We start from the raw sequence: 24,060 nt of genomic DNA, 5'->3' as shown, positions 1-24,060 counted from the left end.
GAACTTTGGATGCCTCTAGGACCTCTAACTGATAACCAGTAAGGAGCTGGGAAAAGAAATGAGTGCTGCCCACAGCAGGAAAGAGTTTGGAAGTAGATTCTTCCCCAGTCAAGTCTCTGGTTGAGAATGCAGCCCAGTCAACACCTTGATTGCAGCCTGTGAGACCCTGCATAAAGGATCCATCTAAATCATGCCTAGACTCCTGACCCATGGAAACTGTGAGATAACAAATGTGTGTTGTCTTAAGCCACTAAGTTTGTGGTAAGTTGTTATGCAATAATAGAACACTAATTATTGCTAGTGATAAAGAAAGTAAATGCTGCATGTACACCAGCTGACATTCGATGGATGGTAAGTTTGTTATTAGGTTCATCTATCTATCCATCCATCCATCCATGCATCCATCCATCCATCCATCTGGCCATTTGTCCATCCATCCAGCCTTCCATTCATCCATCCATCCATCCATCCATCCATCCATCCATCCATCCTCCATCCATCCATCCTTCCATCCTCCACCCATCCATTCTTCCATTCATCTTTCCTTCCTTCCTTCCTTCTTTCCTTCCTTCCTTCCTTCCTTCCTTCCTTCCTTCCTTCCTTCCTTCCTTCCTTCCTTCCTTCCTTCCTTCCTTCTTTCCATCTATACAGCCACCCATCCTGTAGAGTGAGGGCTATCACAAGGAAGTTCTGTACTTTGCAAAAGTGCTGGTGCTTTGACCAGCTGAGTCTGGGATCCCAGGGGTGTATGGGATTCTTATTGGGATGTCATTTATCTGCACTTATTAACATACAGTAAACATCGACCATCTTTGAGAAGGCACTGAATTTTTTTTTAATTTTTTGAGCCAACCTTAGGACCAAGAGGCACTAAAGATCTTGCATCTAAGTCTGATCTAAGGAAAATTAAACTCGTGTGTTGTGTGTGTGCATGTGTGTGTTTACCCATGAGGTTTGTCAAGGGCAGGGTGGGCAAGACACCCAGTCTATCCTCCCTCCCACCCACTTGGCCCAAGCCCTGAGTGGCTTCAGGTTGTGAGTGATGAGTGCACAAGGGAGCAAGGGAGCTTCTGCGTGGATCCAGCTCTCCATCTGGTCGTCAGTGGGGAGACCAGACACAGATGTCAAATATCTACAGCAAATGTGAGACTATTTGGGTACAATTTAGCAGAAACGAGTCATCCTGCAGACATAAACATTTTAATCGGAGTGACAATTTATTCAAACAATTTGACAATGCTTACACATGCTGAACAGATGGGCTGGGGTGGGGGGCCCAGCAAGAGAGCTGGTGGGGGAGGGAAGCCCCCGGCAGAGACTGGCGGGACTGCTGGGAGGGGCAGAGTGGAAGATGAGGGCTCCCTGCCCTTCCCATCCCCAGACAGGCTCCTGGAATGACCCTAGATCCCACCCCAGGAATCCTGCCTGTGCTTTCTGACACCTCTGTTTGATGTCCTGAACTGCTGGGGACTTGAGGCACATGCTGCAAAAAGGAAAGCCATTCATTGATTTATTCATTTATTAAAAAATATTTGCTGAGCGTCTGTGGAGGGCCAGGCATTGTGCTGGATGCTATGTGCTGTACACATGTATGTGCATGCATGTGTACATGTGTGTAGCCTCATCCACTATTCATATCTTCTGATTTCTGAATTTGGAGCTTGTAGTTGTCTGAGTCTGGCCCAGAAGTAGCTCCTAAATTGAGGCTTTTGGTGCAAGCAGTTTGTTTGGATATTGATCCCAGGAAGCTCCTGTTGGGGTGTTAGGAACAGAGACAAGAAATGGAAGGAAACATACACAGGGAGGTAATGAGCTGGCTGTGGAGTTGCTACCTCCGTGGGCAATTTCACTGGGGACCCCTGGGAGATGGTGCAGGGCATGCCTCAGACATGCTTTCCCAACCCCCATGTCCTGTTGACTGAGGACGTTGGCTCCTAGGCACTTCCTAACCCGTCCCATCTGGGCTGAGGAGGGAAGTTGCTTGCCGTGGCTCATGGTACTGCACTAGCTGGTGAGTATCCAGGGAACATGAGCTCACAGATGGTGCTTTTGTATCAATATTGCTCTGCTAAGCGATACATCAATTTTACTCTGGCCTGGCAGATGAGGGAAACTGAGGCCCACAGACTGAACCTATGTGCCCAAGGTGTCTAGCTGGCTAGCAGTAAAGCCAGAGTAGATCTCATGTTTTCTGAGCTCCCATCCACTGCTCTCTCCACAGTACTAGATTGCGATTGTCAGTGCTTCTTTGGGACATTTAAAATAGAATTAATTCACAATAAAAAATTATGTCAGTGGAACAGCCCCTGGTATTCAGGCTATTAGCTGCCCCTTTGATGAACTTATTTGATTAGAAGTGCGTGAGCTCTTTGATCCTGTTTGGGAAATCATCGTCTGAGGCCCTGGGCCAACTACGGTCAGCTCCTCGGCTCTTGACGCACTTGGGGTTTCTTTCCCTATGGCAGCGGGCAGAGTTCGGAGCCCTCGTCCTCTCATCTTCTCAAAGCAGCACCCTTCAAGCTACCTCCCCTTCTCGCTCATTTCTCACCCCAGTCCACACTGTCCAGGAGTGAGTCTTCCCAACGAACTTCAGGCACAATTTCCTCTTCTCTAAAACCACCATGAAGGCCATTTGAAGTCAGTGATAAGATCCAAGTCTGAGACCCAGGCATCCACCTGCCCTCTCCATAATGCCTCTGGCACGCAGCAAGGCCAGCATCCAAATGGTGCTCTGGGGTTGCCTCCAAAGCTACCCTTGCCCATCTCAGTGGGCATCCCTGCAGGGCACAGCAGGGCAGAACCTGACCCTGGGGAGTCGTTTTGATGTCCCAGACCTTTCCTCACTTGCTCTTCCCATCCATCAGCAGGTGACATAAGATCTTCCTCCAAAACGCATCTTGGATCCCATTCCTGGACTTCATCTCCTCCCTGGTCCAAGGTCTCACCACATCCCAGGGGTCTGTCTCTTTCATCCACTCTTACCCACACCTTGATCTGTTTTCCATTCAGCAGCCTGAGCCATCTTTTAAAAACTTAAATTGGATGGCATTGTGACCAATGCTCCAATAACCCTCAGTGGTTCTCACTGTGACCACAAAGGACCCCCATGATAGGCCCTGCCTGGCTTTGTGTTCCCCACCCTCCCCTTCCTCCAACCCACTTTATTCCAGGCACATGGGTGGCTTTCGGTGCCTTGCCCACTCCTCTCTCCACATCCCCTCCCACTTGGATGCCTCTTCTAGCTGATCTCCACCCACCCTCCCTTTTATCCTCCAGAACTCAGCCAAAACGTCAGCACCCAGGAGGCCTTCCCAGAGTCCCTTACAAGGTGTCTCCCTGCCATTCTCCATGCCAACACTCAAGAATCTGCCATGGTATAATAATTCGCCTATTGCTTTGTCACTGTCTCTTCTGCAAGACTGTAAGCTACGCAGGCAGGCACCATGTTTATTTTGTTCAGCAGTGTATTCCCCAATATCTGGCATGTACTAGGGACTGTTTCATGGAAAATTGTTGAATGAATAAACAAGAGGTGGAATAAACCTCTAGGGCTGCTTCTCACTCCAAAATCAGAAAGGTTTTTACAACAGATTCAAAAACTTTCCCTTCAAGGGCTCCCTCCAAGGTCCAGTCCTGGATGCCTGGCCTTCATGTCTCCTGGAAATCTCTCACCCCACATTCCATAGTCCCGATGCTCCCCACAGGAGGGGCCATCAGCTTCTGTCAAGCCTTTCTCTCTGTTCTCTCTTTTGTTCATTCTGATCCCTTTGCCCGAGGTGTCCCAAGTCAGCATCTGCCTATGGAAATCCTCACTGCTCAAAGCCCAGTCCAACACCATCCCCTCCAGGTGACCTTCCTCGTCCCCCAGGCAGAAGGAATGGCTAACATTCATGGTGCTTCTTGCTATGTGTCAGGCTCTTGTCTAAGATGTTATACCCTGGGGCAGATTGTGTTTTTCAAAGAAAACACATTCCACCCCACTTGCTCTTCTAACAAATGTGACATTGACACTCCTCCCATTCAGTAGTGGGAGGAGCTTGGGTGGAGTGTTAGGGAATGTGGCAGAAATGATGCTGTGTGGCTCCCAAGACTGGTCATGAAAATGCTATGAGCTTCCACCTTGTTCCCTAGGATTGCTCATTATTCAAAGTGCCATTGAATTGGATATACAGTCAATTCAGCCTTTATTTTTCTTTGCCTTAATGACAAATCCACTGAGAAAAGGCTGTAACTGTGAGACCCCAAAGCATGAGGGCACATGTTCTGTAATAAATGTTTGACAAGACGGCCATCTCCTTCGAGTAGGGATGAACTGTTTCCCTCCTCCTATCTCAGGTTTTCTGAGTGTAGATGCTTCCCAATTTATCTCTTAATATAATCTCCAGTTACTCACTCCCCTCCTCCCAAGCAAGTGGAATGGTTTTGCAATTTAATTTAATCACCCACTGAGTTTCCAAAATTAATTTCCTGTTAGAAATAAATATTGTACTATGAATTATAAATCAGACCAGGCGGTAATTTGCAGACAACCTGTAAATTACAATTTCTACTGTTGTTCTCTACAGCAAATAGAAGAGGGAGCACTTAGTGTCCCCGAGATAAGCCTGTGTAGCCACTTAGGAGGAAGGTCAGGTCTGAGTGGACCTGTCATCCACGGAGGAAGGCTCTGGCTGCCCGGGGTCGGGGGGCTTCCCACCATTAGCTGCTTCTGCTCCTTACGATTCTGTAGCACCAGCATTTGGAGAGCTCCCCACTGTCTATTGGCCCCCCGGGGGTAGAGCTCTGAATGACAAGGTCCCTGATCCAGGACGTCAGCGCCTCTTAGTCGTGCCCCACATGAAGAGGCAGTGATAATAAAGATGGAGGGAAGCACTCACACCGCACTCACCATGTGCTGATGGCTGTTCCAAGCATTTGCATATATTAATTGATTTGATCTTCAGAATAGCCCTATGAGATAGGCTCTATGATCAGCATTATATTAAGGATGAGGAAACTGAGGCACAGAGAACACGAGTAACCTGCCAGTGATGGTGAGTCAGCAGGTGGCAGTGCCCTGTTGTGTGAGGCAGGCTGGGTCCAGAATTGGGGTACTCCTCATCCCTCACACTCATGTCCTGGCTGGCCCACTCTCATCCCACTGCCTTCTTCCCAGCCAGGCCACTTTCATCTCTAAGCCTGACAGCCTTCGAAGCTCCCAGCCAGTCTACAGCTTCTGCTTGTCTCTACAAGGGCCCCTCTCTCACCAGGGAACTCAGAGAACTCCTTAGAAATGGGAACTCCGGGTGAAAAATCCCAGGACTGCCTCGTGCTCTTAGGATGAATGACACAACACCCTTGCCTCCAGACAACTACCAGGTGGGCAGGAAAGATGGAAGCTCTCAGCACCGGCAAGCTGGGCCCCTGACAGAGGTTGTTCACTGTGCCTTCTTACAGAGAAATGATGACCTCATAGGTTGCACTGGGGGTGGGAATGAAAAGATCCTGGGAAGGGCACGTGTCTGTGTTTCTCTGGTGAGCAAACCACTTGCAAATCCATGAGGCAAAGTCCCAGCATCCATTCAATATCCATTTAGCAAAGTTGTTATTGACTAAAAGCTAAGCCATCGAAAGTGGGGTGACTCCATGGTGAGTGGCACAAGGAAGACCCTTGGCCCCAAGTAACTCCCAGTTCAGGAAAAAGATGGACAGTAAGCTGGCAACCCCAGTGCTGCACGGCCCACCCGTGCTGGGAGTGGGGGTGCAGGGCCGTGCATGGGCCTGAGGGGGCTTCTGGTGGCTGTCTTTTCCTCCCACAGCCTACGAGCCTGAGGAAGCTCCTCTCATCTACCCAACTTACAGGTGGGGAAACTGAGAGGTGAAGTGACTTTGCCCAGGTCATAGGGCTGGTGTGTGGCAGAGCCAAGGGCATCAGGCAGCTGGCTGCAGAGCCCATGGGGTGACTCTCATGAGTCCCAGCTGTTTTTTCCTGATTCTCAGTAAATTGTTGAATGAGAATGTCAGGTCAGCCAGCAGAGGCAGCTCATGGGGGTCCTGCCTAGAGTGAGTTCTCTCACCCACTCTGGGCAGATCATTCTTTCCTCCCAGACAATCTTTGGATCCATTAGTCTTTCTGTGGCAGGTTCAGAAGCCCAGTGCAAAATAGCTAAGAAAAAAAAGAAAATGTACTACCTCATTTTCACTAGAATTCTGGGAGAGTGCTAATTGCAGGCATGGCTGGATCTAGGGACTTGAGCTGTGTCTTCTGGATCATTCTCTGTCTCTCCTCACTTGATTCTAAGTGGCTTCTGTTCCACTTCTAGCAAAGAGGCTGCCTTGCCCTGCAGTCAGGGGGCACCCCAGCTGTCCTCCACGGGTGTCCTCACAGCTCCACACCCAAAAGGAAAAGCCACTTTACCAACAACAGCAAACACAGCCATTTTCAGAGAGGGCCCCAAATGGCCTGGCTGAGGCCAATTGCCCACTCCTGAGCCTACCACTGTGGCCAGAGGAACGGGTGCTGTGACCACCTAAGGCATTGATGAATGCAGTGAAAATGTAGGTTGATGAATGCAGCGAAGATGTAGGGCAGGAATGACATTCGATGTCGGCCACAAGGTGCTCCAAGCGCTCCAAGTGTTGTGCTGGAAGTGGCTTCCGCTTCACAGGAGGCTTGGGTTGGGCTGCCCCCGGGAAAACCTTGGGGTAGACCAAGGGAGACCCCCAAACCACCTTCCCACGGTTTTCCCAGCCTTGACCTCCAGAGCCATTCAGGATGAACGGTGGAGGTGCTTGTGAGCATTCCTGGTCTGGAGCAGGCTCACTGGGACGGTGTAGAAAACAAAACACAAAGCTGGCCTCCCTTCTCGATGAAATATTCAGCCACATTCCAGTATCTCCTCCATTCCCTCATTCCACTATCTGAACACCATTTAACTGAGAGGGATGAGAGCAACCCCCTGAAATGAATTCACTTGAAGGTACAAATGGCTGGTAAGTCATTCAGGTCCTTTCCCACCTGGCAGTTGGTCACCTGATGGTCTTAATGGTCTCTGGGAAGTGGGGTGTCAAGGGTGGGGCAGTGGAAGGAAGAGAAAGGAAAGGAAGGGTCTGCCCCTTCCTTTGCATGATGTAGGACCACGTCCCTTTCCTTTGGAGAACAAGGATGATTCTTCTGGGACTGTCATCACAGAGCCCGGTCCCTGTACCCCCTGGGATGGCAGGTGACCTGACCTAAGCCATTATGGCCCCATCCCTCTTGTCAAGAGGTTGGGCCAGAAACAGTATTCCCTGAAATTGCTGTGCTTGGAGACAGACAGGAAGAAGCTTTTTGTGTTGTTCCTACCACTGGGAGGACACAAACCTAGAATAGCAGGGGCTGCTGTCTCCGCCATGGGGCCGAAGGACAGGAGCCTTTTTGATGGAGGAGAGCCAGAAGCTGAGTACAAGTAGGTAGAGGCGAGAAGGAGAAAGACCCCAGAAGACAGAGCCTGAGTTCCTGGATCCAGCTGTGCCTGCAGCCAGACCTACTTCTGAAAAATGCCTTAAAATGAACCAGTAAACTCCCTTTTGCTTCTCAGCTACTTTGGGTTGGGCTCCTGTGACCTCAGTAGCCAGCTTGACTCATCTGAGGGTTGGCTGAGAGAGTTGTTACCATTTCCATCCCCACCTCCTCCTCTGTCTCCTCCTTCTCCCCTTTCTTCTTCGTGGGCATAACCACTCATTAAGTGCGTATTCTGATCTGTGTGCACACAGGCAGAGCCTCTGTGTGGACTGTATCAGCAAATCCTTCCAGCGAGTGTCCCTTTATCCTTCTCAGTCCAGTTCAGACAGAGCCAGCACCCAGGCCTCTGACTCCAGGTCCACGTTCTTCCCAATTCTCCATGCACAAGACAGTCTAGCACTCCTACACAGTGACCGGACCAGCACCATCCCCAAAGATGGGACAGGCTGTGGCCGGAACAGCTGGCAGTCCTTCTTGCCCCAGTTTTTTCAGTGCATAAATTCCCTTTTCTTTGCTTCTTTCGTCTGGCCCCAGGCCTGGTTCCCTGGGGGACAGGGAAGAAGCAAGTATTTCCTGGAGGCATACTTGGCTTAAGTTTAGGCTAAAAGCTTTTTTAACACAGAGAAATGGAAACTGCCAGAGCCCTGGGGTTAAACCCGTCCAGTCCCAGTTCTGTTGGTAAAACAGAAAAGAGAGCTTGTGTGGAGCTGTTGATGGCTGGTTCTCGAGAGCGGCAGTGGGGACGGCGCCGGGCCGCTGTGGCTGTGGGCCTAGTACTTGGAGGGCAGTGTTAGTGGGAGCAGTAATAGGCTAGTAAGGGTGGGGGAGCAGTGAAGGGGTGACAAGAAACTGAGAACCTCGGACCCCAATTTTTAGTGGTTGGGGCTTCCAGACAATGAGGTGAAACTTCCTCACTGTAGATGGAAGCTTTGTGCAAATCTCAAAGATGTCATGTTTGTAGATTTGGGGAAGGTTTATTTAAAAAATTGTGGTAAAATACGCACAGGATTTTACATATGGCTTAGGGTCACTAAGTACATTCACATCATTCACATTGTTGTACAACTGTCACTGCCTTCCATCAGAAGAGTTTTTTGTTGTTGTTGAGACGGACTTTTGCTCTTGTCACCCAGGCTGGAGTGCAGTGGTGCCATGTCAGCTCACTGCACCATCCATCTCCTGGCCTTAAGCAATTCTCCTGCCTCAGCCTCCCTAGTAGCTGGGATTACAGGTGCCCACCACTACGCCTGGCTAATTTTTGTATTTTTAGTAGAGATGGCGTTTCACCATGTTGGCCAGGCTGGTCTCAAACTCCTGACCTTTAGGTGTTTTGCCCTCCTCGGCTTCCCGCAGTGCTGGGATTATAGGCGTGAGCCACTGTTCCTGGCCTAGTAGAACGTTTTCATCACCACGAATTGAAATTTGGCCTGGCTTGAATACCTCCCCGTTCCCCCTCCCCCAAGCCCTTGGCAACCTCCATTCTACTTCCCGTCTCTGTGACTCCGGCCACTTTAGGTGCCTCCTCCAAGCAGAATTATCCCGTCTGTCCTTTCATGAGTGGCTTATTTTGCTTAGCCTAATGTCCTCAAGGTTTGTCCATGTTGCAGCAGGTAACTCTTTCTAAGCCCTCCCAGCTGACATGTGTAGGCAGAGTATTCTGAACTTTCCAAAAACATGCCTGGGCCTTTCTGATCTCATGATATAGGATCAATCATTTCTTGGCCTAAGAAACCCATGAAGATGATTTGCTCATTTAAGGACCAAACAGAATGATTACGGTGTATTTAGAGTGGGGAACAGCCACATTCTTGAAGGATGAACATTCAGAGCTGACAATGTGACAGATTTTCACTTATGCCACCAGAAACAAGCTCTGAGCTTCTAAGGAGAAATTCCTAGCTCTGGTGACACTAACATTAATTGGCCAGTTTTATGTAACTTTTATTGTAACAACAATAAAAGTTTTAGAAACTTCTTAAAATCTCCAGCCTGCAGATCTTTGCTCTATGGTTGATGCCGGCATCTTCCTAGGACTCCCCTTCCGGCTAGGTTCTTATCAACAGCTCTGGGCAGCATCCTGATCTTTGGTGAGTTCTGACACGCTGGTTTGTTTTAAATGCTGTCCAGCCACGCTTCTCACAGCACCTCACGTCTAACACATCAACAACCTCTGAGTGACTTGACCTGGATCTGACTCCACTCTGGGTCCTGTCCCAAAGCAGAATTTCTGAGCTAAAAGAGGATCCTTGCAGAAAGGCAGGACGTCAGGCACAGGCTCCTGCAGTCTCTCCCGGGGGTCCACCATCCTTCCAGTCTTTTCTTGGTGGAACTTTCTCTCCCTGCTCAATGCTTCTAATTGGAAAGGAACGGCACATATATATACATAAATATAGACGTATATATACATGTGTGGATTATACAGGCAGGTGGATTGCCTGAGGTCAGAAGTTCGAGACCAGCCTCAAACTTCTGACCATACGTATATATGTATGTGTGTGTGTGTGTGTGTATATATATATATATATATACACATATATATGTATATATATGTGTATATATGTATATATATGTATATATATGTATATATAGATGTATATATATGTATATATATATACACACACACACACACACACACACACACACACACACATATATATATATTTTTTGGAGACAGAGTTTTGCTCTTGTTGCCTATGCTGGAGTTCAGTGGCATGATCTCAGCTCACTGCAACCTCCGCCTCCCAGGTTCAAGTGATTCTCCTGCCTGGGATTACAGGCACCTGCCACCACACCTGGCTAATTTTTGTATTTTTAGTAGAGACAGGGTTTCATCATGTTGGCCAGGCTGGCCTCGAACTCCTGACCTCAGGTGATCCACCCGCCTTGGCCTCCCAAAGTGCTGGGATTACAGGCGTGAGCCACCACACCCAGCCCGGCACATACTTTCTATATCAGCACTTCTAAGCGTGCACCCCATAAGCCGCTTACCCTGGAATCACCCCAAGACAGGACCCGCAGAATCTGCATTTTAAATCATCTCCCCACTAGGTTCTTATACTCACCAAAGGCTAAAGACCAACTGATTGTCTTATGCTTGAATTTTTTAGAGCAAACTTGGGTTATTTTTATAATCAAATAAAAATCAAGATAAATAGCTGTTTTCTTTCTTGTTTCTTTTTCCGGCTGTTTTCTTCCCTTCCTTTCTTCTCTCCTTTAGAGAACCGAAGTTAAGACCCTGCGCAGACATCACAGCACCTCGTCTACCAGACCTTCCGATTCAGGGGCTGCGTCTTTGAGAACTTCCTCAGGGGTCAGCTTTGGAGATCAGCAGGGAGGAGGGTGCTCACCCCAGGAAGCGGGGACGCTCTGGAAACCAGGCTCCTGGCTGTGGTCCTGGACAAGATTCCCAGGCTCCGGGCTGGCTGTCTGCACCTGCTACCTGTTCCCAGGGGAGTGTGGGAGGCCCAGGCTGAGCAGCACAACCTCTTCCCTGGAGGAGCCGTCGCTGTGGGGCCCCCGCTTTTGTTGCCAAGAGCCCAACCTGGAAGTCCCTGGGTGCAAGGTCAGGTGTCTTAGAGGCCAAGGGAAGAAACCCAGACCTCCTTTTATTTTTTTCTAAAGAGTAAACAATACAGCTAATCAAATGGATGAACTCTTAGACTTTTATAGAATCTTCTCAAGACAGTCTGCTCTCCAGGCCCTCACAGTCCTGGATGCAGCACGGGCCCTTGGAGAGAATCCCAGGCATCACAATGACACCGTTTCTGTCACACGGCGTCCTCAGCTCCTCTGTGCTGCTTTTCCCTGTGAGGTCCTTCCCAGCACTCAGCACAACGACCGGCACAGGAACCACCTGCTTTCTCTCAGGGTTCACCTCCTCAGTGTCAATGTCCCACTGCTGGACTGGGAACTCCACGAAGCCAGAGCCATGACTGTTTTATTTGCTGCTGTGTCCCTCGTGCCTGGCACACGGCAGGCCTTCAATATACTGTTTATTTACTAGCTCAGTAAAGAGCGTAAAATTCCCAAATCCTCTGAATTTACAGAATCACAGAATGCAGTCACTCCACTTTTCTTTCTTTCTCTCTTTCTCTCTCTTTCTTTCTTTTCTCTCTCTTTCTTTCCTCCCTCCCTCCCTCCCTTCTTTCCTTCCTTCCTTCCTTTCTTCCTTTCTTTTTGACAGAGTCTTGCTCTGTCACCCAGGCTAGAGTGCAATGGCACTATCTCGGCTCTCTGCAACCCCTGCCTCCCGGGTTCAAGTGATTGTCGTGCCTCAGCCTCCCAAGTAGCTGGGACTATCGGTGCCCACCACCACGCGCGGCTAATATTTTTGTATTTTTATTTTAGTAGAGATGGGGTTTCACCATGTTGCCCAGGCTGGTCTCGAACTCCTGACCTCAGGCAATCCACCCACCTCGGCCTCCCAAAGTGCTGGGATTACAGGTTTGAGCCACCTTGCCCAGCTGCAGTCATTACACTTTTCTTGAGGGCCTACTATGTGCCAGGAACTTTGCCAGGTGTGAGATCCATTAGAAAACAAGAGCCCTACCCAGTTCTTGCCTCATGGAGCTGAGTGATACTAGAACAAACAAGGTTTTGGAAACAGAGAGACAAGGGTTTAAAAATTCCAGGTCTGCCACTTACCTGGGTGCACTTGGGCAGCTGAGCACCAGGGCCTCGGTTTCTCCATTTGTAAAACAGAAGTGATGATAGCATCAACTTCCTCAGGTGGGTGGATTGGAGATAACGTCTGTAATGTGTTTAACAAAATGCTTGGTGCCTACTTCATGCTCAGTAAATTAGCTTCTGCATTACTATCCTAGGGCTGCTGTTACAGAGAACCACAGTGAACGCAACAGAAATTTGTTCTCTCACAATTCTGGAAGCCAGAAGTCCAACATCAAGGTGTTGGCAGGGCTGGCTCCTTCTGGGGACTGTAAGAGAAAATCCATTCCACGCAACTCAGGAATCCTCCACGCTCCTTGGCTTATGGCAGCGAAACTCCAGTCTGACTCACTGCCAAGTGGCTCCTCTCCTGTGTGTTTTCATAGCTCTGCAGCCCTTTCCTCTCATAAAGGTGCCAGTCACTGAATTTAGGACCCACCCTGATCCATTATGATATCAGCTGACCTAATTACATTTGCATTTCTACATAAGCCCACATTCTGAGGTTCTGGGGAGGCATGAATTTTGGGAGGGACACTATCTTTCCCAGAACAGCTTCTATTATTTTGTGTGTGTGTGCTCAGTGCTTCGTAGACTTGACTTTATCCCCTCCTCCTAGCCACCTTATGAGGAAGGGACAATGGCTACCTTGCCTCACATGAGGAGGCGAGGCACAGAGACTTGGAACCTCTCAGGATACACGATCATCTTTGCCCTTGCTTGGAATTCATCTGATTTTCAAAGAGGCGGCCTGCAGCAGAGCCTCCCAACCTGACTTTTCTCTCCAAATGGCAGTCCCTGCACGACAATGAACAAGGAGAAGCTGGGCTCCACAGTGCCCTGTGTTCACAGGCTCCACAGTGAGACGAAATGTCCTGGTTTAAAACGGACATTGATCAGACCTGCTGGGAAGGCAAGCGGGAGGCAGAAAGGCACGGCTGCTTCCAAGTTTCTGTTGGCAGAGAGGGCAGAGCTGACAACTCCCAGTGAAAGATGTTTTCACCGTGGCGCAAGAGCAGAGACAGGGCCAGCGCGGCACCCCAGCCCCGCTCACAGCTCTAGGTTGATGCTTCTCAGAGGGAAGAGCTCTTTCTCTCTCAAGAGTTTCAATAATCGTATCCTAACTTGGCACAGAACCTCACCCTTCCTGGGAACACAGGAATGTTTGCTACTTGATGTCAATAAAATCCAACTCCTTAAGGTCTCTCCTGGGGTCCATGGGGTGGAGTTCATTCCACACCATTCTGAGACAGAGTCAGAGGAATTTGCTGGGTCTTCTCTGGCTCGGAATAAGTCCACCAGGCATCTCTACCTTATCCAGAAGAGAGTCATTTATTTTCACAAGTGCATAGCGGCCGACACCACCAGCACTAACCAGAGTGGATTCTTGCTTCACTCTCGGGGCCCTCATTCAAGGCTGGTCTCTTCCCGCAGGCCTTCTGACAAGTGCCACATTTTGTTCCTCTAACTTGGGTGAAGCCCCCTCAAACACTAGTCTCAAAGATCCCTTGCTACAAAGGTGGGTGCTCGGGCCTCAAATTCAAAGACCCTGACTCAGTAGATCCAGGTTGGGGTCCCAGGACTGTAATATAGGTGGTCCTGGCACCACACTTGGCCAAATGCTGTGTAGCTTGCAAGAAAGCTCCAGAAGCAATCTAGAGCTTTATATCATCACTCAAAAGTAAAGATTTGTAGGAAAGGTTTAAACCAGTGTCTTCCCAAGTTTCCAGCTTCTTCAACCAAACTGCTGGTTGAGGGGAAGGTGATTTGAGATTTTAGGGCATCGATTTATACAGTGTGAAAATTATTCCCCTGTGGTTAGATCAAAGGAAAATTCTTCATCTGGCACTAAGAGTCTTTAGCACCTCCTGACACTTCTAAGCTCCCTTTTGAACAAAGAGAGAGAGGCCTCAGGCTTGAAGCCATCAGCAGGCAGCAGTATCTGGCTGGAATTTAGCAATGCTCGTTTGTGGTCAAGGTATTTATCTCTGTAGTTACCTTTTATTAATGGCAAGGAATGTCGACTTCCATTTATGATAATGATCTCAAGTTTCCTTTTAGTTAAATGTCTAATTAGAAATGTGAGGTGATTTACAGGAAAAGAAAAATAGTGACTTGAATTATAGTGCAGGTGGTAGGTCAGGCCAAAATGATGGTGGTGGTTCAGAAATTACTGAAATTTGGGAACTGCTAGTCTAGTCGATGCTTAGCATTTGGGGTTGAGAAAACCAAGGCCTTGAGAGGGGAAGGAACTCGTCTGAGCTCACGTAATATTGCGTAATATTGGGTGGTGGTCTTTGCTGTCACCCACAGTCACCCACCATGGAGCTCTGCAGAGCTGCCACTTGTGAACCAGGGGATCTGAGCTCGCTGGGGAAGTGTGAGTCTCAAGACACCAACATCTTTAAAACAGATAAAAATAAAGTGGCAAGAGTGACCTCACCCCAGCATGTGGTGGCCGCTGAGAGCAGAGGGTTGTAAAAATTAATTGCCCTCTATTTGTGACCTGCTGTAGCAGGCGGGCCTCCTTTGAGGGGGTCACCCGAGAGGCGGCGGGCAATGGAAACATTCTTTGGGCCTGACACAGTGGTTCAACAGTGACCTCACCCCAACAACTCAAGACTTGTTATTCAAAACTTAATTTTATTTTGTTTCTAAGTGCTTAGGAGCTGGGGCTAAGGCAACTTTTGTCATCAAAAAGAAGGCCCAGATCTTGGAGAGAAGCAGAGCATCCTGAGTGTCTGCCAAGCGCCAACTTTGCAGCCACAGGTTCAAGTTCTTCCCTAATCCCGGCAGATCTGCCTTCTTGGTCCTATTGGTCTCCATGTGTGGTTGGCGCGATCTCTGGGCTTTGCTGATGTGAAGCCATGGGGAGGTGGAGTTTTAAGAGCGGTGTTCTCAGCGGGAAGAGCTCTTTCTTTCTCAAACATTTCGGTAATCTCATCCCAACCTGGCATAGAACCTCACCCTTCCTGGGGACACAGGAATATTTGCTACTTTACATCAATAAAATCCAACTCCTTAGTGTCTCTCCTGGGGTCCATTCATAGGGTGGGGTTCCTCTTTCGGGTCCCCCATTCAAGGCTGCTCGGTCCCTGCAGGTCTTCGTTCTGTTTCTCTAACTTGAGCCAAGCTCCCTCAAACACTAGTTTCAAAGAGCCTTTGTTACAAAGGCGGGTGCTAGGGCCCCAAATCCAAAGGCTCTGACTCAGTAGGTCCAGGGTGGGATTCCAGGACCACGATACAAGTGGTCTGGGCACCACATTTGGCCAAATGTTGTGAGATCCTCATCCAAGGCATGTATTGAAGGAGGGCTCTAAGGAGAAGCTGGAAAGGCAGTGAGGGCAGAAAGGGGCTGGGCAAGGATTGGTCTTAGCTGGAGTCTAGCACAGTCCCATGGGGAGCCCTGGAACAGGAATGACGCCACAGAGTTGAAACCATGTTAGCTGCGAGGCAAAGCATTCAAACCCCATGCCAGTCAGTACAATGCCTGTGGGGTGGGCAAGGAGGACCTTCTCAGTCACGGACACTTTTCCAGAGAAGGCGACAGCAGTGAGTGTTTAGAAGCATCCATGCTTTGGTAAACCAGCTCTCAGGGGTCGCAGGAGGAAGAGTGCTGATTTATAGCTTTTGCCAATGTCTGTGGTGTCAATACATTCTCTATGCTAATTGCAAAGCTACCAATGGTTTAACAATGGGCTTACATATTTCCTGAATATTTAACAATGAGTTCTCTCAGGCCAGGAGGAGCTGGCTCCAGCACACTCTACACTAGCAGTCAACTCTCAAGACAGCTGGAGGAAGCGAAGGTTCCTGGGAAGGAGACTGTGGCAGGGCCCAAATTGCCTCTTGGGCCTGGATGATGGCAGGTGCTTTCTAACCAAGATTCCTGCTTCCTCTCTCACCCATTGTCTTTCCTTGCTCCGTGAGCAAGAGCATCTTTTGCAGACATGGATCCAACGTGCTGCCCCTGGATTAAAACCCTTCACAGGCTCTCCATCACCTTTGGGGTAAAGTCCCCCTCCTCACTTTGGCCCTCAAAGCCCCGTCCCTTGGGCCCCTGTCGACCACCTCTTTCCACTCGCTTTCTCGTGGACTTTCTGCTCCAACCACCCTGACTCTTCTCCCGTCCTTGAAGTTTTGATCTCTCTCATGACCAGACGTCTAGGCCACTTCACATGCAGCCCTTTTGGCCAGAGACACAATGGTGGCCCCTGCCCCATCCGCTCAGCCCACCTCGCTTCAACACAGCATTGGTGGAACGTCTACTTTGCATCTGTCTCATTTGTGAGCAGGGCATTCGGGACTAGCTATGTGAGTTTGGGCTGCTGCACCCCACTTCTTGGCTAAGTTTGCAGTCTGTCTTCCACCCTGGACTGGCTACTCCTTGAAGGTAAAGACTTTGTGTGGCTTCATTACTCCTCAAAAGCCAACACCTAGTACAGGGCTTTATTATGGAGAAATGAACAAATTGATCAGTCTATCAAATGAATAATGAATGTCTGAGTGGTCAAGGCTGCTGCCTGGTAACAAATGTCTCCAAGAAGAGCCCCTCAGAAGAGTCTCCCTGTGCCCTGCAGCCTCACCCCAATGACTTGAGAGTGAAGTCATGGTACTAAGAGCTGGTCCAGGCTCAGCCCCAAGTGTGCCAGCTGCTTCTTAGACGTGGCTCCATTTACTCCTCACCGCAGACCTGGGTAGGAGATCAAAGCATTGCCCCATTTTAGAGATAAGGAAATTGAAGAGGCTCAAGGGGTTAAATAAATTGCCCAGGGCCAAGTGGTTACTCAATAGCAACTGTTCTGCAATGGACTTTTTCACCAACAGCATTTCTTTCTATGATACAGAGCTACCATACAGCGGTGCCTCATCATTTTGTCCGTTGCTCTGTATCCCTCAGCATGGATGCACCTTGCTCTGTTTAAATGTCCCTATTTGCTGAGCATTTGCATGGTTTTCCTTCGCTTTTCTTTGTGTGTGATCTTTGCATGCCTGTGTCAGTAGCGCTATATTGGCTGGAAGAGGAAGACACAGATCAGAGTGAAGTTCACATCTTGAGTGATTTTGCAGCTAAACTTACAGGCAGTGAAAAATTAACACTGTCCAGAGAGGGTTTGGCCTTTGTCCCTGGCTCCTGGGAGGTGGCCTCTAAGCCCTTGGAATGTCCTGTCTGATGAAAGTGTCTTTGTTTACCTGGGGGATCTTAGGTCACACAAGATAGTCTATGTCTACAGTATGATTTATGGTGGGGGTCTTGGGTCACCCAGTACCAACTTGACTTCTGGAGGGACTGGAGGCCAAAGGCCAGTCACATAGGCGTCATCCATGTCTATGTGCCTGAACCCCAATAAAAACTCTGGGTATGGAGGCTCACATGAGCTTCTCTGGCTGGCATATCTCCATATGTGTGGTCATACATCATTGCCAGGAAAAGTGAGTGCTGTCTGGGACTTAGGAGAGGACAACTAGAATTTTTATGCTTGGAACTTCCCTGGGCTCTGCTCCATGTGTCTCTTCCAATGACCAATTTTAATCTGTATTATGTTGTGTAACAAGCTGTGATGGAGTACAGTGGCTTTCAGTGAGTTCTGTGAGTCCTTTAAGCAAATTATTAAGCCTGAGGATAGGGTTGGGGACCCCAAATTTTTAATCAGTCACAGATGTCTTGGGGATCCCTACTCTGCAATTTCCATTTCAAGAATGCCTCCTCCAGGACTGGTCCTAGAAAGAAAGTGCCAAGAAGCCTCCCACTGCATCTTGCCCATGGCTAGATCCCTTGGTCCTAGCACCCAGTAGACATCCAGTCAATATTTGTTGAATCTATGCATTCAACAATGGCAGTCCCCAACCATCAGAAAGCCTGAGCTGTTAGTGTTATTATCCCCACTTTAAGAGGCTGAGGAATCAGGAGTTCATGGAGTAAGCACCCGGGGAAATTGTATGGGTTGGGGCCAAGCCAGGGTTGCTTGGCTTTTCAAAGTTGGACTCCATGGAGACCTGTCGTGGCCTACGATGATGCTATCTCTTCCATGCGTGCATCTGGCCTCAAAGAAAGGAAGATGGCGAGGACAAGGGGAGAGAGAGAGATGGGGTTGCGGGGGGAGAGAGAGAGAGAGAGAGAGAGAGAAACCTTTGTGAGTTATGAAAGGGAAAACCAGATGAGAGGAGATAACTGCTTCAATGCCATGCTTTTTATTATAGAAATCTGCACTTAGAGGTTGAAGAAAAGATTTCTTTTTTCGTTGTTATTTGCTTAAGAGAATTGGAGAACTGAGAGCTGTCTGGGCGGATGATTAATGGGAAAAAAATTACATTTCAATGAGGTCTCTCCTCCTGAAGGGTGACTCTCATCAAAGGGATGTATAGAGTGGATGTCAGGTTCATTTCCTCATTTCCGTCTCAGCTGGGGCTGAAAGAGACTCTCTTAAGGGGGAATCGGGTATAAAAATTACAGTTTAAGGCCAAGAGTATTCTCATTAAAAATAACATGGCTAATGTCTACAGAACACTTGCTAGGGGCAGGTGCTGTGCCGGGCATGTAGGCCGCAGTATCATGTACACACAACAGCCGCATGAATTAGGTGCCAAAAGCATCCCCGTTTCACAGACGGACAAAATGGGGCACAGGGAGCTTCAGCAGTTGGACCAGGGTCCCAGGGCTTGGAACATGACTGAGACCAGATCCGCCTGGCTCCTTGGTCATGGCTCTTCCATCCAGATGCGTTTAAGGGCTGGCCCCGACTCTGACACGGATAACCATGGGTGCAGGGTCCACGGATCTGGTTTTAAGGAGAGGATTGAAAGAGCCTGTACCTTGGAGCAGGCTCCATCACTGTCTGTGCAGAATGTAATGTGGACACCTAGCTCTTCTCCATCACAGGGCACAGTCTCCTCCTTGGGTGTCTCCGTTCCCGTGCACGTGGGCTGTGGTTTTGTCTTGGGGAGGAAATGGAGGAGACTCTTCCTGCTGCTTTGGGGCTCAGGAATGCAGAGTTGGGGGAAGGCTCTTCTCTTTGTCTCTACTTCGGAGCCAGCCCTGTCCCAGCCCCTCAAAGATATCAGAGGCAGGGCCATCAACAGGAACACTGTGCTCATCAGAGGCCACTGTTTAACATCACTGTCCCCAGCAGGGGAGCCCAGACAGGTGTGGGTTCTGCGGCAAGTGCCCAGACAGACTGGCTGTGGGCTCTTCCAAGGCCCCTCAGGTTTAACAAGGGTGGGGCTTCTGCTGATATAAGGCCCGGGGCTGTGGGCCTGGAAGCATGGAGCCTCACCCAGTTTCCCTGTATGATGCCCTTGGCCATGCGTTTCCTAAGCCTGTCCTCTGTCTTGTTTATATTTTGCCAACTGCACCAGCCCTTACGTGCACAGAGCTGCAACACTAAGTTCCTTTTCTCTGCTCATCTCTCTACCCTCACCCCATTCTTGTCAACTCTTGCTGCAAGGGGTTCCCCAACGCAGCACATGGAGAGGATGTGCTGGCTCTAGGGCTGCTAAGATGCTCAGCTGGAGGCCACTTTGACCAGCACGAGAGGGTAAAGACAGCGAAGGCCCCCTCTCCTTCACCCCTGGTGACTCCAAGAGGATTCTCCTGGGGAGAATTATGGCAGAACACAGATCAGGGTTTGTCCTATAATCCTGTAAATATTTACAAGTGTGCTAGACTTTGGAGTTAGAGTGGTGAAAGGAACATCACAATTCCTGTCCTCATGGAGCTGATGATAAATGGATGGATGGATGAATAGATGGGTGGATGGATGGATGGATGCATGGGTGGATGCATGGGTGGATAAATGGGGGTGAGTGGGTGGGTGGTTGAATGGATAGATGATTGGATGGATGGATAGATGAATAATGGATTGATGGATGGATCGGTGGGTGGATGAATGGATAAATAGATGGGTGTGTGAATGGGTGGATGGACAGACAGACTGGACTTAAACCTCAGCTCTTCCCTTCACTAGTGTGTGATCTTGGACAAATTGCTTAACATCTCTGTGTCTTAGTGTTCTCGTCTGTTAAATGGTGATGATAATAGTATCAATTTCAGAAGTTTTTTTCTTAAGATAAAATGAACAAACATATAAAGTGCTTAGAATAGGGTCTGCACAAGGTAAGTGCTATGTGAATGTTGGATTATGTTAGTGGAGAAGAAAGACATTAACCAAATTTTTTTTTTAGGAGTTGTAACATTGTAACTAGTCAAAGCCACAAAAGAGAGGTATGAGAACATTTAACAGGGTTTGTGGGGCAGTGGGTGGAGAGTGAGGGGAAGGCTGACCTAGGCAGGGAGGGAAGGAAAAGGTGAGGTGAGCAGTAGGTTCATGAGGGGCCTGGGCAAGCAGGGGTGAGCATGGTATTTCAGGCTCAGGGAAATGCACGTGCAAAGGCCCTGTGGTGGGCAGAAGAACAAAGAGCACAAGGTCTGAGAGGCAGTCACACGGCTGAAGCTCAGGGACAGATGGCATGAAGGGGGCAGGGGCTGAGAGATCAGCAGAAGCTGGACCCAGCGGGGCTTCACCTTCCCAAGAGCAGTGGGGGCCAGGAAGGGAGGGAGGTTGGGAGTCATATCTGTGTTTCAAGAAGCTTGATATTGTCAAGCAAACAAACCCAAGGGTCACCTCAGGCCCCCAGAAACCTCAGGCTGGCCATCTGCAGACAATGCTGGTGGACACCAAGGCTCTGCAGAGCTGGGGGTACCAGACCCCCAGGGGTGGGTTGAAGGGTACCCAGGAGGCAGAACCAGATCCCCACTCACTCCAAGCACAGCAGGCCTTTAAACATATTTCATCTGGTACGCACTTTGGGGCTTTGACAGAAGATGTCACTCAAGAGGTCTCCACCAAATAAAAGGGGAGGAAAAGAAATAAAAGAAAACCATTTCTAAGCCAACCCCTTTGTTATGCAGATGGGGAAACCAAGGCCCTGTGTGCCCTACAGCTGCACAGTTCATGGCTGAGCCGGGCCCTGACCCCACTCCCTGCACTGCGCTGTGCTTTCCTGGAGTAGTATTATTTCCTGAATGCTATAAAATATTTATGTTGCCTTAACAAATTAGCACAGACTTAGCTCAGCAACACCAACTTACCTTCCTACAGTTCCGTGGGTGGGAAGTGCTCAGTGGGTCTCCTCGCTGGGCTGAATCAGGGGGGCGCGGAGCTGCGTTGCTTCTGGAGGCTCCAGAGGAGGATGGGTTTCTGTTCTGGACTGTTGGTGGACTTCACTTCCTTGGAGCTGTGGGACTGAGATCCCCCTTCCTGGCTGGCTGTCTCAGCCAGGGGCCTCTCTGCAGCCTGCACATGACCTCCGCTCAGGGCCAGCGTCGGGGCATGGAATTCTGTTCACGTTGCATGGTCGCGACCCTTCTTAGGAGCTGGTGTCACTCTCATTGTGGTTGCCAGAGTTTCTCTGCTTTAAAAAAATAATTTTAATTGTGGTAAAATACACATAACATAAAAGTTCCCACCCTAACTATTTCTGAGTGTGTAGTTTGGTGCATTAAATACACTCACATTGCTGTGGAACTATCATCACCTTTCCTCTCCAGAGCTTTTTCAATTTCCCAAACTGAAACCCTGTCCCCTGTAAACATTCACTCCCCATTCCCTTATCTTCCAGTCCCTGGAAACTACCATGCTATTTTCTGTCTCTATGAATTACTATACGGGCTTCATATGAGTGGAATCAGACAGTGTTTGTCCCTCTGAGACTGGCTGATTCCACTTAACATCATATCTTCAAGGTTCACCCATGCTATAGCCTGTGTCAGAATTCCTTTCCTTTTTAAGGCTGTATAATATTCCATTGTTTGGGTGCACCACATTGTGTATTCATTCATCTATCAGTGGACACTTGGGTTGCTTCTGCCTTTTGGCTATTGTGAATGACGCTGCTGTAAACACAGGTGCACAGGTGTCTGTTCAAGTCCCTGCTTCATTCTTTGGGGCATATACCCAGAAGTGGAATTGCTGGATCACATGATGATAATTTTATTTTTAATTTTTTGAGAAAGCACCATACTGTTTTTCATTTTATATTCTCACTAACAATGCACAAAATTTCCCATTTCTCCACATTCTCACATTCTCACCAACACTTGTTATTTTCTGTTTTTTTTTTTTTTTGTTTTTTGTTTTTTTTAATAGTAGCCATGCTAATGAGTGTGTTTGGGGAGGGGGTATCTCATTGTGGTTTTGATTTGCATTTCCCTAATGATGAGTGATGTTGACACTCAAGTAACTAGATTGTGCGTGTTTAGATAACCAGATAATCGAGGGTCATCTGCCCATCTGTAAATCTTATATAATCACATCTGCAAAGTCTCTTTGCCACGTACGGCGACATATTCACAGGCTCTTGGGGTTGAGGCGTGGACATTTTGGAGAACATTATTCTGCCTCCCACACCTGAGTAGCTAAAAATGAAGCTTGAGGGTTTCCTGGGGGAGCCTGTCCCCTTCCCTCTTCTCAGACCAGGTTTCGGGGGGAGCATTCCAGGACTGTGAGGACCTGCACACTTTCACAAAAATGCACTTGCTTCCAGGTGTCTTGTTTCCTTGCCCAGGTCTCCAAAGAAAAAGCACCTGAGGGCCCCTGTCACTCACCTCCTCTCTGTCTGTCCATCCTGTCAGCAAATGTTGACTGGGTGGCTCCTCCACACCAGGTGTCATGCAGGCCTGACATAGATGGATCCATCCATCTGCCATCCATCCATCCATCCATCCATCCATCCATCCATCCATCAATCCACCCATCTCATTCATCCATCCATCATCCATTCTTCCATCCATCCATCCATCCATCCATCCATCCATCAATCCATCCATCTCATTCATCCATCCATCATCCATTCATCCATCCATTAATCCATTTATCCATCCACTATTCATCCATCTATCCACTATCCATCCATCCATTAATCCATTTATCCATTCACTATTCATCCATCTATCCACTATCCATCCATCCATCCATCCATCCATCCAACCCCCCATCCATCCATCCATCCATCCATCTCATCCATCCATCATCCATTCTTCCATCCATCCATCCATCCATCCATCCATCCATCCATCCATCTCATCCATCCATCATCCATTCTTCCATCCATCCATCCATCCATCCATCCATCCATCCATCCATCCATCAATCCATCCATCTCATTCATCCATCCATCATCCATTCATCCATCCATTAATCCATTTATCCATCCACTATTCATCCATCTATCCACTATCCATCCATCCATCCATCCATCCATCCAACCCCATCCATCCATCCATCCATCCATCCATCCATCCATCCTTCCAACCATCTGTCCATCTGTGCAGGGCACAGCAGTGGGCCAAGTCTTGGATGGGACTCAGACGTGAGCTGCAGCGTCCCACCATCAAAATGAGGTTGTGAATGTCTTAAGAACAGTGAAGAGAGACCACGGGGCACACCCGCTCCGGGCTTGGAAGTTCAGGAAAGGCCTCACTGAGGAATTGATATTTAGTCTAAAGCAGGAAGGGAGAGTTTCCAGGCAGAGGGAGCAGAGTATGCAAAGGCCCTGCAGTTGGAAAGGGCTTAGGATCTGTGAGATGGCGAAGGTGGCTGTGTATACTGAGAAGGAGGCTGGAGAAGTCAGTGGTTCTGTTTCCCATTCCAGAAACTTCTCTAGTATAAAGCACTCTCAGTAGGGGATTGTTTTCCCTTCTGCAAAAATAATGGAAACACCACACGTAGGAGTCATTGTGGGACCCATTACTCAACTGTAGTCGGAATGACAGTGCAACATCTTAGTAAGAAACACAGCCATCAGATTATTACTCCAGTGGGAAAGGTTCAACATATAGCATCCATGAGATGAGAGTTAACGTGTGGGTGACCCATGGGAATCAGGGGTGTGGGGGAACCTCTTTCCCTTTCTTC

At 48.7% G+C, this 24,060-nt stretch overlaps 1 annotated feature.

Moving 5' to 3' along the window:
- Positions 18,878-19,378: an enhancer, noted in NCBI's record as "H3K4me1 hESC enhancer chr20:56527975-56528475 (GRCh37/hg19 assembly coordinates)". NCBI's record gives its function as "activates a minimal SCP1, AML or CMV promoter by ChIP-STARR-seq in naive H9 embryonic stem cells {active_cell/tissue: H9 hESC(naive)}" and the evidence as "EXISTENCE:reporter gene assay evidence [ECO:0000049][PMID:30033119]".

This window comes from Homo sapiens, chromosome 20, assembly GCF_000001405.40.
Source record: "Homo sapiens chromosome 20, GRCh38.p14 Primary Assembly".
NCBI classification, from domain to species: Eukaryota; Metazoa; Chordata; class Mammalia; order Primates; family Hominidae; genus Homo; species Homo sapiens.
This window is presented reverse-complemented; position numbering and strand designations above follow the sequence as displayed.